At 37.4% G+C, this 15,448-nt stretch overlaps 1 protein-coding gene across 3 annotated transcripts in view, besides 1 other annotated feature; it reads left to right on the top strand.

Annotated features, from left to right (window-relative positions):
* Window positions 1-15,448, top strand: part of CDK6 (cyclin dependent kinase 6) — a 231,653-nt gene that overhangs the window by 28,059 nt on the left and 188,146 nt on the right. The window lies entirely within an intron of this gene.
* Window positions 10,560-10,629: an enhancer, noted in NCBI's record as "active region_26273". NCBI's record gives its function as "activates an Ori minimal core promoter by ATAC-STARR-seq in GM12878 lymphoblastoid cells {active_cell/tissue: GM12878}" and the evidence as "EXISTENCE:reporter gene assay evidence [ECO:0000049][PMID:35858748]".

Here is a 15,448-nt window from a genome sequence, read left to right as displayed (position 1 = left end):
GTGAATTATTTAAGCAGCATTTACTTTATAGAAGGCACTTTAAGTGAATCATTTGTTTCAGATCTGTCTGTAACATTTCTACCAAACTATTTGGCCGACTATACCTTATGGTATCAAGCATTCTAAATGTGAGAATACTGGCCAATATAGGCAAAAGCAAAGAAACCTCCCTCTTTTCTTGTGTGTTCTCTCAGATGCTGCTATAGAAATCTGAGAATTGGGAGCATATGCTTCAGACTGCAGGCTTCTGATGCTGCCCCGCAGCAACACAGTAACTGGCATTTTGGTTCACTTTGCATTTTACTCATCTGCTGATTTAATGAGTGTTCTGTGTATTGAGCAATAGCAGGAGTTCTACTTAACTATCACTAAACATAAAGAAGAAAAATACCATATGAGGTGTCTAGTTTTTTTTATTTTCTTTTTAATTTACAGGGGAGTCATCTGTTAACTTGCGTAATTGAGGAATAGAGCAGTCCAGTTAATAAGAAAGCTTAGTTATTAGAAAGTTGCCATCTCTTCTGAGTCCCCTTTTCAAAGGATTAGAATGTGATAAAATACACTTAACACTAAAACTCATAATTTAATCTTTGTTGAGCATTGAGAAGATACTTCAAGATATATCCTTTATTGTACCCTAATAAAATGGTAGTTATGATGAATGATGCCTATGCTTGCTACTAGAGAATTATAGTTAATAAAATTTTCGCTTGGTTATACCGTTTGACTGTTCATCATGATAGATAAGAGAAGGCCTTGTGTCATGTCCAATGGAAACACGAAGTCAATTGCTGAATTATGCTTGGTTAGGTATAAAATTTCACTTTTTAAATTTATTTATGGAGGGAAAGGTTGAGATAGTACTAGTGAAGGGCAAGCAGGAAGTTTAGGTGGAGAATAAAATAATGAGAAACCAGAAGAAAAATAATATGTATTTATATCTATACCTATTATATATATTGATATATATCTATATAGAGAGATGCAGAGTTAAATACATTTTATTTTTAGATAGATATAAACTTACATATAATTATGTAGATATATTTATAAGGAGATGTGTATCTATGTCTAGATAAAGAGATGTATATCTATCTATATCTAGATAGATATCTCTAGATACAGATATATAATCTAGATATCTAGATATAGATACAGAAATCTGGAGATATATACATCTCTCTATCTAGATATAGATATCTCTAGATATAGATATACATGTCTCCATATAGATATAGATCTACTTTCAGAAAGTAGATAGAGTAAAAGATGACCAAATTAGAAGAGATCAAATTAAGAAAACAAATGATTTCTTAAAGTTTTAAAAATATCATGGAAGGGTAAAAATTCATATGGCAAAAACTTCTGGATCTAGAGGCTCTCAAGATTAGGTAGAAAGAATAAATGAGGTTAAGGGGAACAGAGGACAGGTGGTGAACAAACCAAAAAGTTCAAGGGAGTGATACAGAATTAAAACTAGTTCAGCTCCAAAATTGGTATAAGCTACAACTTCAGTATGGCTTATCTTAAATTGTTGACCTCTTGCCCAAAACCTAAATAAATGTGTATTTGTTTGTCCTCTTCGTATTATGTCTCTTGTGGGAAACACAAAGTAAATTTTTCTTGCATTCATCTAGCTTATGGTCTTACGGTAGAAAAATATGGATAAAACAGTTGTTATCAAAATGAAGAAATGCAGTGAAGCGCAGGTAAAGGCTCACAGCCTTTCTGTCTAGTGCTCTGAATGTCAGAGTGAACAAAGGAGTTGTTATACTTGGCATGCTAACAAGAGAAGTCGGTCTGTTCCGCATGTTGCAAAATTTCTATTGGTTTTTATTGTTGGCATTAATATACACGATATCCTGTGCCCGTCATCTGGTTACACAGACATTTTTGTCATGTTATAACATGAACTGACTGCTTTAAATGTATAGGTAAGTGGTAATCAATTTACAAAATTAGGTTCTTCATTCCTCCCTGACATCCTCCACTCCTTCCCACCAGGGTCTGCCTCTTTGCATGTGGACACGTGCATATCCATTTTGCACTTTATTACATCGTTTTATAAAGATGCTAATAAAGTGATAAGTAGTGATAAAAGTAAAGGGATGGTGGGGGGAATCACTGACAAAACAAAAGATCACTTCAGAATCTACAATTGTACATGTTTTAACGGGCGTCTTTGATAGTCCTGGATACAGGCTCAGAACACTTTACTGAATTTTGGGAGAGTTGGGAACATACTTCTATTTATATTCATAAGTATAGGAAGAAAAGCCCCAACTATCTAGGTTTATCTCACGTTGAGGATTAGAAGCTTCTGTAGACAGTGTATTTCAATCATGCTTTTTTCAAGAAGATAGATTTTTTAAAAACTTATTTTATTGTGGTAAATAAAGGTAATATACATAACATATGTGGTCAATAAACATAACATACAATTTACAGTTTTAATCATTTTTAAATGTATAATGCGGTGACATTAAGTACATTCACATTGTTGTGCAACCATCACTGCTATCTCCAGAACTTTTTCATCATCCCAAACTGAAATTTTGTACTCACTAAACAATGACTCTTCACTCCCCTTCCCCTACAAGAAGATACATTTTTAAATAACATTTTAAAATCAGAAGAGAACCGGTAGGTAGTTTATGCCATAGCCAGTAACCTTAGGGTTCAGATTGGAAATAATAGAGACCCACTGAAACTAGCTCAAGAAAGAGGGATTTTATTGTACGGGGGGAACAAGGTTCATGAGAATCATTACACTTCTGGTCTCCTGGAACAGGGGTTCTGGATACCAGGAGCCTCTGTGGAGTGCTTTAGGATAGTTCTTAAATCGTTTCGAAGTTTTACTAAGCCTTTTGAAGCCATGTAGGTGTTACTAGACCGGTATAAAACTGCATGCCAAGACTTCATGGTAGTTTTTTTTTGGTCATAACATCCTTTCCAATTTCAACTATAGCACATCATGATTACACTGAGGGAGTTTATGAAGAGTAGGTTTCATGGATGAACATTATCAGTCTTGACCATAGTGACATCTTGAGCTCACTCATTTTGGTGGGAAAATCATGCTTTCAGAGTGAAAAGTTGGAACAGCATGACGGAAAATGGATTTTTATTTTAAACCATTGAGAAGAAATGCTGTATGACTTTATGATGGCTAGGAGATACCTTACATATAATTACCTCACAAGCTGATGCTTTTACCAACTAACCCCCAAAGCAGCATCTCTTTGATCCTGAGTGACTTGAGCCAAGGGAAGTGGCAACGTGATGGTGGTGAAGGGTGTGGAGTGGGCAGATTACATGATTCAGTCTCCAACTCATCCCAAGTCTAGCCATGCCCCTCTTAGTATGCCTACTTTAAGGGCATAGGCTATGTGGCCAATTTTCCTTCATCGAGATTTCAAGCTCTTTGAATCAAGAGAGAAGGCAATATGTTTATTTAGAGGTTAAGAAATTATAGGCTTTCAGAGTTAATAGGTTATCTAATTTTTCTACTCATTCGTTCAGTCTTTGAACCTAGAATTATACAAACAGTACATGACCAGTATTTGTCCCCCAAGATCACATTACAGCAGTGGTCTTGAACCAGGGGTGAATTTGTTCCCCAGGGGATTTGACAGTCTTTGAACACATTTTGTTTATCACAACTGGGGCGGTAGAGTTTATAGATGTTACTAGTGCTGCGACTACTGCCACTAACATCTAATAGGTAGAGGTTATTGATGTTAAGTATCCTGCAATGCACAGGATGGCTCCCCACAACAAACAAATTTCAAAATGCTGATAGTCCTGAGATTCAGAGCTCTGCATTTCAAAAAGACACTAGTTAACAACAATTTGTAGAAGGCAAAAAATTATAAAGGTCTGCAGCATAAATTGGAAAAAACACATAAGTCCAACCATCTAGCATTAACAAGCTCACATTCATATAATTAGCACTCCTAATATTAGTATTTTTCATTACCATCAATAGGCAAGAAGAGGAAAACCAAGAGTAAGGATAGTCTTTTCCCACAATTGTTTGATTGGGAGCGAGGTGAGATGGCTGAAATGGACGGAGTTAAAGACAACTGGAAAATGTGAGATTTCCTTAAGAGTGTGGCTCAGAACTAGAATCCACGGTGAAGGTTGTTGAAATTGTTGTTGATTTGTTTTGGTTGGCTAAATTTGTGAATTAGTTGTATTTGGACCCTGCTAGGGAATCAGGGGTTTAAAAAAGGAAGCTAACTAGAATGAGGCCTAAGGAATGGGTTAGCTCAGTGACTGGTTCTTATAAGAGGGGATGCATACCCTCAAGTGAAAGGGTCTAGGTAATTCCAGGCAACCAAGACCTCAAATCAGAGCTCCCTCTAAATTATGAATGCATTGCCTCATCTCTGTTCTCAATTGTCCTAATGTATATGGTTGGTATATTATGTTTTATATTTTTCTTTTCATGCCTCCATTTATAAAATGTCACTAATCTATATGAGGTGATCAAATGAAACAAACCAGTGGAGAAGTGACTCTTAAGATTAATTAAGGTAGGTAATATTGAGATCTATGAATACGGTAGATGGCTTATATAGGTTGAGGCTTTACTTCTTTTTCTACTCATCCAGACTTGAACCTTGAAGATTAATTTATCCTACTTGTCATAGTTTGATATTAACCAAGTCTAATAGATTTTCCCTTTAAAACATTTCCTGGTGCCCATTTTTTCCCCCTTTTCATACTGTCCCGGGAGTCAATCAATATAAACCTGTATGAGTAACTTTTTTCTCTCTCTCGTTTGGGTTATGTTCCAGTTCATATGATGCCTTCTTCCCACATCACACATGTGCCCCAAAATGGTCTTGAATGTCTACCATCTCAAACCCAGACTTTTTGATTTGTGGTCCAAAGCTCTTCGTGATCTGTATCCGTCTTACATGTTCATGTCCCACACTGTCCTCTAAATGGGGACTCTGCCCTCATGGCTCTCAAACGGAGCCTGCTTGCTCTCTCCAACCAGCCTGGTTCATGTGGCTGCCCTCCATGGCTTACTTGCTCTTCTCCTTGTTACCTATGTGATATTCACTCATCTTCAAAGGTTGCACCTGGCTGTCATCAGCTCCATGGGAGCATTTCTGAAAACTTTAGTACTAACGTTCACTCCTCCCTTGTGAAGTTTATATCACCTGGTTTAGTGTTGTGTTATATCTTGTCCTACAGTGTCCTTAGTTATTCACATGTGCATGTCTTCTTTCCTCATCTATAGGGAAAGCTCCTTGTAAGCAAAACCTGTGACTTATTGAAGGTTCACATACTGCTAACCATATTGCAAGTACTTAATAAGTGCTTATTATGTGGTTGATTGTGCAAGATAGCCTATTTCTTTAAAAATGTCATTGAAATGATATGTACAAATACAGTATAATATTAGTTATTATACAAGAAGTACTTGAAAAGATTAATTACTGCCAGTCATCTTAATATTGGGTGTACATGGGAAGGGCATATTTGAAAAACTGTAAGAACGCAGAATGACGAATTGGCCCTCTATAGTAGTAGTTCTCAACTGAAGGCAGTTTTGCTCCTAGGGGACATTTGGCAACATTTCCAGATATTTTTGGTTGTCACAAATGGAGGGATATGATTAGTATTTAGTGAGTAGAGGTGAGGGAAGCTGCTAAACATTCTACAGTGCACAAGACAGTATCCCCATAACAGTGTTATCCAGCCTCAGATATCAATAGCTCCATGGTTGAGAAACCCTAATTTACAGCATTGAGTGGGCACCATCATTAACATACTTTACCACCTAAAGGAATGAAAGCATGCAAAAAGTAGTGCATTTTTATATAGAGGAAATGATCATATATTGTAAACTCCTAAACGGTGGGAACTGCAGCTGTGTACATAAAGCAGAACAGTCGGATAGTTTAAAAGACATGTGATAGCTGCTTGTACCGTAAACGAGCACTTTATGTCTTTGGCCTGGACTTTGAGAGGAGAGAATGATTGTTAAGTAGACAGAATTCTCTTAATACTGAATGCACATAGCCCATAATTTTAGAAAATTAGAGGCATTTGCTAACCCAGAAGGATGTATTGGAATTTCAGGTCAAATTTTTAATAAACTGGAATTCCTTTGCAAGGATTGATAGTTATATTAGAATATTGAATGAAATCTACCTCCTTCCATTTTTTCAAATATTTTAGAAGCTTCCTTGAAGAATACTTGATAGTTTTTAAGGTGTAAGAATAATATTATTTCCCTAAATAATGTGTACACATGGAAGCAGAGTGTAGAATGTTGGACAATGGAGACTCAGAGGTGGAGACTGGCAGAGTTCTGGATGGAGGGGTGGATGATCAGAGGTTGTTTGATGGGTGCAATGTAAGTTGCACCAGTGATGGATGCACTGAAGACCCTGACTTCACCACAATGCAGTATATCAGTGTAGCAAAATTGCGCTTGTTCCCCATGAATATATACAAATAAGAAAGTGAGGAAAGGAAGGAGGGAAGGGAGGGAGGGAGGGGAAGGAAAGGAGAAGGGAAGGGGAGAGAACGGGGGGGAGGGGAGGAGAGAAGAGGAGACGAAAAGAGAGGCGGGGTGGCGCAGCAGCTCACACCTGTAATCTCAGCACTTTTGGAAAGCTAAGGCGGGTGGATCACTTGTGGTCAGGAGCTTGAGACCAGTCTGGGCAACATGGCAAAACCCCATCTCTACCAAATGTACAAAAATTAGCCAGGCATGATGGCGCACGCCTGTGGGCCCAGCTACTCAGGAGGCTGAGGTGGGAGGATTGTTTGAGCCTGGGAGGTGGGGGTGACAGTGAACCGATATCACACCACTGCACTCCAAAAGAAAGAAAGAGAGAAAGAGAGAAGGGAGGGAAGAAGGAAGGAAGGAGGGAAAGAGAATATTCTTTCTCTCTTGAAATTAATTTTGGGAGGTGCTTATGTGGCCAAGAGTGGTATGGTGGAGGGAGCAGTTCAGAGAGATCCTGGGCAGGACACCTTAACCATTCCCTGCCTGTTTCCTCATTTTCAAAAAGAAGGGCTAAGGCTTGATGACCTCTAGCTTTAAAATTCTATGTCCCTGTAATTTCAGATAGAGAGAGAGAGAGAGCACGCATGTATGTACAGTTATTTAAGAAAGAAACTTTGAAGGCAATTTTTCCAGTTCATTTCTTAGAAATTTCAGAAATATTCCATTCTCTAAAAGCTTAATTCCAGTGTTTAAAGAAAGGAATTCCTGTTATAAATAAAAGTTGTTCTCTGCTCCCAATCAAAATAAAAAGAGTGAAATAAAATTTACAATTGATTCAAAAGTGTCGTTATTAGCTAATTTTGAAATTTTTATCTATTTTCTTTTGTTTATATTTAAATATAAATAAAATATTTTAATAATACTGACTTTTCTCACACAATTCATGTTAGAATTTCTTAGATGGTTCCACATCTGAGAAGTTTCTTGCTTGTAAAGGTAAAACAGATTTGGAAGCTTTATAATGATTTTTAATCCATCATTTCGGAAGTTACTGGATATTGGACAAAATGATAAAGTGTTATTTTCTGGATGGAAAATTAAGTAGAGCCTTGATACTCACCAGGCTGAGGATACATCCCAAGAAATGAGGCTTGCTTCTATGGTGTCTCTGTTCTTAGGTTTCCTCAGAGTCCATTCTAGAACTTGGATAATGAGATTGCCTGAATCGAAGATGTTTTTGGGATGGGCCCAGAGATGCAAAGGATATCCAGCTACATATTAGATCTTATTCCCAGAATTAATGTTGCTACAGGGAATAGCAGTACATGGCATAGAACATGTTCATAAATAGTGCCTTAGATGACTTTTGGTTTAACAGAGGTTAATTGAGCCCCCCCTGAATGCAAGGCACCTACTATAGGGACTACACAGTGGGTCAGATTGTGTATTCCTTAATCTCTGCTTTAAGTGAGTTTATAACCTAGTGGGGAGAGAGAAAGTGTGTGTGTACCTGTGCCAATTACTGTAATACAAAGAATAAAGCTATCGTGACCATTCAGAGATACAGACACAATTCTAGGCCAGTTCAGAAGACAAAATTAAGTTTAATTTGCAGGAGCAAGAAAATGAGGCTCCAAACAAGAGAAGAACGATGTGAAAAGAAACAGACACATCGTATACATGGAGATGAATGACATCACGTATGGCAGACGAACCTGAGGTGCTGAGTTAACCACAGTGTGAGGAGAAGAGGAGGAATGGAGATAATGCCCAATCGATAGGGTCAGAATCATAGCAGAGGGTAAAGCGGCCTGAAATGGAATCTAGAGACAGGTGAACTGGTTAGGAGATTGACCATTCCCTGGAGAGAGAAAAAATAATGGTGGCCTAAATTAGGGTAGTGCCCTTGAAATGAGAGGAAGGTTTGCATATGAGAGATAGTTAAGTCCTAGAATTGGCCAATGTGGGTAGCTAGTTAGATGTGTAGGTGAACAGAGCTGTAGGGTCAACAAGATGAATTATGGTTTTATGCTTGAGTGAGAGGATAGTGATGGTGATGTCACTGTTAGAAATAGCATTCACAGCAGAAGGAGCAGGTTTGGAGGGACAATGATGAACTCAGTTTTGAACATGTTGAGTTACATGTGTTTTCAGGAAATAGCCAAGGCAGAGTTATAGTCAAAGTTCAGGAAATTGAGAGCTCCATCCAGATAGGAATCCGGAAAACCTGTGGCATTCTTAAAGGAGATGTATAGAAATCTTTTTTGAGCCCCACATTTGGAATATCACTTTTGCATATAATTTGTCCCACAATAAGGAGAAAATCACGAATGCCCCAGTGTGGTTACTGAGCACATGACTAGGCTGTCACCAGCTAAGTGACTTGTTCACCCATGCCAACCTTCACAGCACAGGCGGTTCAAAATTGCCTCTGACACAGTTGCTGTCTGTAGTAGATCTTCAGGGTCACTGGCAAATAGGACCCTGTATATTAAATAGATGAATGAGCAAGAAATCCTGTATTTTAAGTGAAAAAAAAAAAGACTATGGAAACTTGAGACTCTGCATTTAGGATTGAAGGAGAAAAAAGGGGGCAGAGAGAAAAGCAGACACAAGAGAAGTAGAGGGAGAAGTAAAAGAAAACTCTCAGGGAAGCCATGGGAGGGGAGAGTTTCGGGGAGGAGTAGGCATCTCATTCTGGTATCTGAGGTGCGTCCAAGAGGTGGAAGAGCCTAAAGACTGCATCCAGTAGTGGGGAATTACTGCTATCCATTTGAGAGACAGATCTCGCTGGAAGAGAAAGAGGGGAAACCTGGTAATAGATAACTAAGGAGTGAGAAAGTGTAGCACAAAGTGTAGAAACTGTAGCACAAAGTGTAGACTGTCATTCAGTAAATTGGGGGACATGGAATGTGGCTGGCAGAATGACAATCTGATAGAGATAGGCACAGTTAAACATTTTTGTTGTTATGAGGAAATAGGGAAGTGTATTAGAAGGAGCCAGGAGGGGAACACTTAAAGGGGAATTGAATGAAAGGGAATAAAAGCTGATGAATTGCAGATTTAGCATATTGTGGAGAGGCACAGTTCAGGAGGAATAGGGTTCGTCTTGAAGAGGAGGACACTTTCCTGTGAATCATGAGGGACAGAAGATCCATATAGAAGAAGACAATAGCTTTGATCTTCTATTACAAGAAAAGGACATTTGTGTGAAGCAGGGAGGAATTGGGAGCCCTAAGTAAAGGCTGAGGAAGTGTCTGGAGTTAGGAAGAGAGGGCAGGAGAAGGAAGAGCTAGATGTTGAAGAGGAGGAAGCAGAGGGATTGGCTGTCCTAAGAGGGACCCAAGCCTGTGGAAGACTTTAAAGTGGTCAGCACACTTGGGTTCCCTTAGCAACAGAGAGACTCTCCCTCATTCATCAATAAGAGTGGATTTATTCACTGATATGTAGACATTAAAAAATTGTTAGGGTGACATTTTATAAAAAGTAAGAACTCTCTTATATAGCAGATCTATAAAAATTAGTGTGCTAACTGGGCTTAGCAAAAGTTGGGCAAATCCTTCCTAAAACACAGTTAATATTTGTTGAATTCCTTTTTCATCAAAATGTTAACTTAGAGTTGAAATGCAAAAGAAGAGATTTGATAAAGCATTTTGACATTTGGCATTTTAAAGTAATTTCATTAGATCATCAAGCTATGAATTATTAAACATTATTCTACTGTAAACAGTTTTTTTCCATTATCTTTCTTTGAATTAGAAACAAGTTGCATGCCATTTGCCTAGAAGAAGATAAATGTATTATGCACTAAAATATACAAAGATTTTGGCACTGTTTTTTTTCTGCTTTTTATTCATTAATGCCTTTGTTTAGTCTTACATCAGATGAATTGGACAAATTTGGGCTTTGTATGGCTAAAGCCAGGAACAAAATTCTCTAACAGTGTTGACAAAATTCACTTGAAAAGTCAAGTCATCATTCAGGACGAGTCATTTTCAATTTAATTTCCACCCTAGCACACTTGAGAAAAGTAGAGTCATCTGTTATAGTGGCTCCCAGGATAGTGATTCCAGTAACTTCCAGAGGGGACAGTTTTGCTCACTGGAGCACCTCCAGTGTTAACACATCGAAGGTGTCCAAGATCCCGTTGTTGTCTGGCTGATTTTCCGTGGAGAGTGAGGAGGTGTTTGACAAGGCCCTGCAGGGGATTTCCCATCCCATGAGGCAATTCATAACCAAAACAATTCAGTATAAACCAAACTAACAATTAGCCTTTTCAAAAGTGCTCATCTGTGCTGCCCAAAGAGTTGATTTCTTTAGAAGTTCTTCTAACAAACCAGGGTAGTCCTGATCTTTATTCTTATAGGTTAAAAGTTGTAGGAGTTAAAGTCAAAATGCAGAAACATTATGCTACAGTGTGAAGAAAAGGTATGTCTGAGGGCCAGGGCCTTTTTAAGAGGCAGTCAGAACAATGGCTGGCTGCCCAAACATAGGGAGCCAATTCTGTGATGTGGTTGCCATGTTCCAGTATCCACCTGGCACTAAATGCCTAGAAGCCCAATTTCATTAGTATATATAGAGGGTTTGGGAGTCCAAGGTTGACAGACTCATCCCGACCTCACAAGAAAACTGAGGTTTGAACAAAAATGTTAATGCATTCTTTTCCAGTAAAAACTGTACATGTCAAGTATGCTTGCATCTGCCAGCCAAATCATTGTCTCCCTTGCATGCTTGTCTGTGGGAAAGCCAGGTTATAGTAGGATACTTGCATTGTGGACATGGAACCTGGAGAGGGGAGTTAGCTGATGAGATTAATGTCTGATAGCCTCAAGCTCTGGTGCCAGTTGCATCCATTTTGGCTGTAGGAGAGGAAGTTTCATTCACAAACTCTCACCTATGACAGGGTTGAGCCATGCTGCCAGTTGTGTCTTTCCAGAGTTTGCTTTTCTATAGATAACATACATACTTTTTGTAAAAGTACCGTTTAGTTGTCATCACAGCCTAGTCTGTTCGATGTGGGGTGGTCATAGTCTCTTGGGCCTTTTCTATTGGTAGATCATCCTCATCCCCACATTTTGGTTTTCCCTATTTCCATCTTAGAGTTTGTCCATCAGTTCAGTTCAGGGGATACCATGTTACCTGTCTCATGTCCTGCTTATGGATACTTTTCTGTCTGTTCATTGATATAACTTCTCTGACTAAAAGCTAACCTCCTGGAGATAAATTTTTGGCACATGACTTGATAGTGGTATTTAAAAAAAAGTTTAACTGGTATAAGTGGAATATTTTAAAGTGCCCTGTTTATTTACCTCTATGATTAAACAGTTACTAAAATATAAATTATAGACTTTGAGGGTTTTTTTTGAATTTTGATACAGAGATCATTTTCTTTTGAATAAAAAATAATGTGTTTACAGTTAAGGGGAAAATATCCTACTCTTACCAACTCAGTTTTCCCTTTCAATTGTAAAAGGGAAATAGACTGTATATCTTTACAATGTAGAAAAGAGATGTGGAATATCCAAGACTGAAGAAACAATGTTTAGGATAAATAAACAATATTTATGCACGTAGCAACTTATAAAATATTATTTTCTCTCAAATTATTCTATGAGAATGATTTAAAAGACTAAGAGTCTGTCTAAACTATCTGGTTTGTTATCATTTTTGTATCTTGAAACAAGTCAGTAAAAACTATGATCTCATAGAGCTACTTGTTATCTGCTAATTTGTCAATTTTGCTTTTTCTTTTACTTGAAACAAAGAAATGCAAACCAAGAAGGTAGTGATTAAATATCCATATGTCTATAACTTTTAAAAAATTGTATAAATATATATTTATTCCTAGGGTTATATTTTTCAAAAAATCTGTTGCTCATTACAGAAAAAAAAACTGATACATGCATGCTAAGTGAAATTTTTTTTTTGGATGAGTTTTTTTTTTTTTTTCTCCAAGTTAATTTCAGCTGCTGGTGGTGTTACCTTTGTCCTCCATTTAGGTAGCATTGCTCTGTGTTTACAACTTTCCATCTTAGTTTCAGTGGATATTCTTCAGAGAGTGACCTTATGCTCAAATAACACTTAAATGTAGGACAAGAAGGTGGCTTTAGTAGAATGACCTCCTAGTAACAGCTAAGAAACACTAGTAAATGACATTAACAGAGATGTACTTAATAGGCTAATGCTTAGATCAAACCTTTGTATAAACTAATTCAAAATGCATAATGTAAAAATCTATAAAATTCTGACACAAGAAAAACTGGTTAAATTAAACTATCTGGATATTAAAATCTTTGAAGGACATTTAAACACAGATAGGCTTATTGATTTAGACTTGGAAGATTTAGACTTGGAAGAAATAGCACGACTGAATGTGTGCTGTGGCACAGTTAGTTCTCTTCTATTGTTTTAATGATGCCCTTAATCCATACTGGGACAGGGCTTATCTAGGATGTGATTTAAGGTATGAAGTTACTTCTTTCAGGAAGTTTTCTTTTTTGTGATTCCTTGGAAATTTCTCAAAATGTTGGAAGAGTGAAACACATTGTCATTGTAACACATTTTGTGACCTAGTTTTGGTCTGAGTATACTTTTTTACTAGCAAGATACCCAGAGGATTTAGACTTTACTCTGACAGCTAAATGAACTCAAATGTATACTGAATGTAAATTGCTTTGAAGGCTGTGGATCACAAGTTAATAGATTCTGGACCTTGTTTTCCCTTTCATGAGCCAAACATTCCTTGGATTTAAGGGTAGGTTTAAATTAAAGTGTAGCAAATTGCTTCCCTCTTTGGAAATAAGCAAAATCACCCTTCTGATAATAAAATATTTCTTGAACATGTCAAGACAGTTACTGAGGAAAGAAAGCATGAGGGGAAAAACGACAATAACTTTTCAGAGACTTGCTCTTTAGGAAATGGAATATGTTTAGTAAAAGGATAATTGCCTTATCCCATGTGACTTGAAAATAATGAGACAAAGAGAAAATGAAAACACTCCATACAAGAACTTATATGACCAAATAAATCTGGTCCCATGGGAAGCAGTCCAGTTTTTCTAGCCCTACTTTAATTGAGCAAAACATTTTCAGACTCTTTTGGAATTATCTTCAGAATCGTTTTATGGGCCAAAGAATCAACATCTTTATTATCACACCTCTTTTTGGACCCAAAAGAATATTACTCAGCCTGATCCCCCACTTAATTTATCAGACTTGGTTCAGGCTTCTTCCAAAAATACAGTACACTCTCTTATAGGACAACTGAATATTTTTCTTAATTCATATTATATATCCATTCAGCAATCATGGCTGAGCACCCCCAATGAGTCAGGTATGTTGTGGTAGCACAGAGGAGTCCTGGCTGTGGGAGAGGGAGGGTGGAAGGGGAGACAGTAAGGATATGGAGAATGTGTGAGCATAATCTTTGAAGATCAGTAGGGACGTCACCAGATGGACAGAGAAAAAGAGAGCTTTCTAGGCAGCAGTAACAGCTGGTGTTGAGGCACAGCACAAAAATCACGCACATTCTAGCAACTGTAAGTATTTTTAGGATCCAATAAAAGATGAGGATGGAGTGGCGAGTGGGGCAAGATCACGAGTGACCTAATAAGCCATGGGATGGGGTATGCAGTGTTTAAGAGTGAGGGTTCTCTTGCTTGGTTTTCTGAGTACAAATCCTGGCTCTCTCATTTACAGTCTTTAGGATGCTGGGCAATTTACTAAACTTCTATACCTTAATTCTTCTCATCTGTGAAAGAGATGATGGTACCTGTATTATAGGGTAAAGAGATTTAAATACATAAAACAAAATTATTAGCATTGTGTCTGACACACAGTAAGCACTCAGTAAGTGTTAGCTATTTCTTCTGCTACTTTGTCCAGTGGATAAAAGACAATAGAAGGATTTTAAAGAGCAGAACACACTTCTTTATCTTATATACACCATTGACCACTTCTTTCTTCTTGAAACTGACTCTTGCCTTGATTTTTTTAAACAGCTCTATTGAGACATACTTGACATGCAAAGCAATTCACCCATTTAAAGCGCTTGATTCAGTGTTTTTACTATATTTACAGGGTTGTGCAACCATTGTTAAACAGTCTGATTTTAGAACCTTTTCATTCTCCCTCAAAGAAACCCCATACCCATTAGCAGCCATTCCCCACTTTTCCCCAACCCCCACACCCCTGGCCTTAGGCAGCCACTAATCTACTTTCTGTTTCTGTAGATTTGCCTACTCTGGCCATTTCTTACAAATGAATGAACATTTTTAATTTTGATGAATCTGTAGTGATCTGTTCTTTCTAATATTGCTTATGTTTTTGGTGTTATAATTAAGATATTGCCTAACCCAGGGTCACAAAGATTTACTGCTATGTTTTTTTCTAAGAGTTTTATAGTTTTAGCTCTTACATTTAGGTTTGTGATCCATTTTAAGTTAATTTCTGTGTATATTGTGAGGTTAGGATCCAATTTCATTCTTTTGCATGTAGGTATCCAGTTATCCCAGCATCATTTGTTGAAAAGATTATTCTTTCCTGAGTGAATGGTCTTGGCACATTTGTTGAAAATTCATTTAGCATAAACATGAAAGTTAATTTCTGCACTCTAAATTATATTTCATTGATCTGTTTGTTTATCTTTATGCCAGTACCATACTGTCTTAGGTACTACAGCTCATGGTAAGTTTTGAAATTGAGAAGTGCGAGTCTTCGAACATTGTTTTTCTTTTTCAAGATTGTTTTTTGCTATTCTGGGTTCCTTGCATTATCATATGAAGTCTAGGATCAGCTTGTCAATTTTTACTAAAAAGCCAGCTGGGATTTTGATGTGGATTGCATTGAAGCTCTAGATCAATTTGGGGAGTATTGCCTCTTAACAATATCAAGTCTTCCTGATCCATGAATACGGATGTCCTTCCATTTATTTAGCTCTTTTATTTCTTGCAATATTGTTTTGTAGTTTTCACT

The sequence above is a fragment of the Homo sapiens genome, chromosome 7 (genome assembly GCF_000001405.40).
Source record: "Homo sapiens chromosome 7, GRCh38.p14 Primary Assembly".
In the NCBI taxonomy this organism is placed as follows: Eukaryota; Metazoa; Chordata; class Mammalia; order Primates; family Hominidae; genus Homo; species Homo sapiens.
The sequence above is the reverse complement of the archived record's forward strand: the minus strand, read 5'-3'. Positions and strand labels throughout refer to the sequence as shown.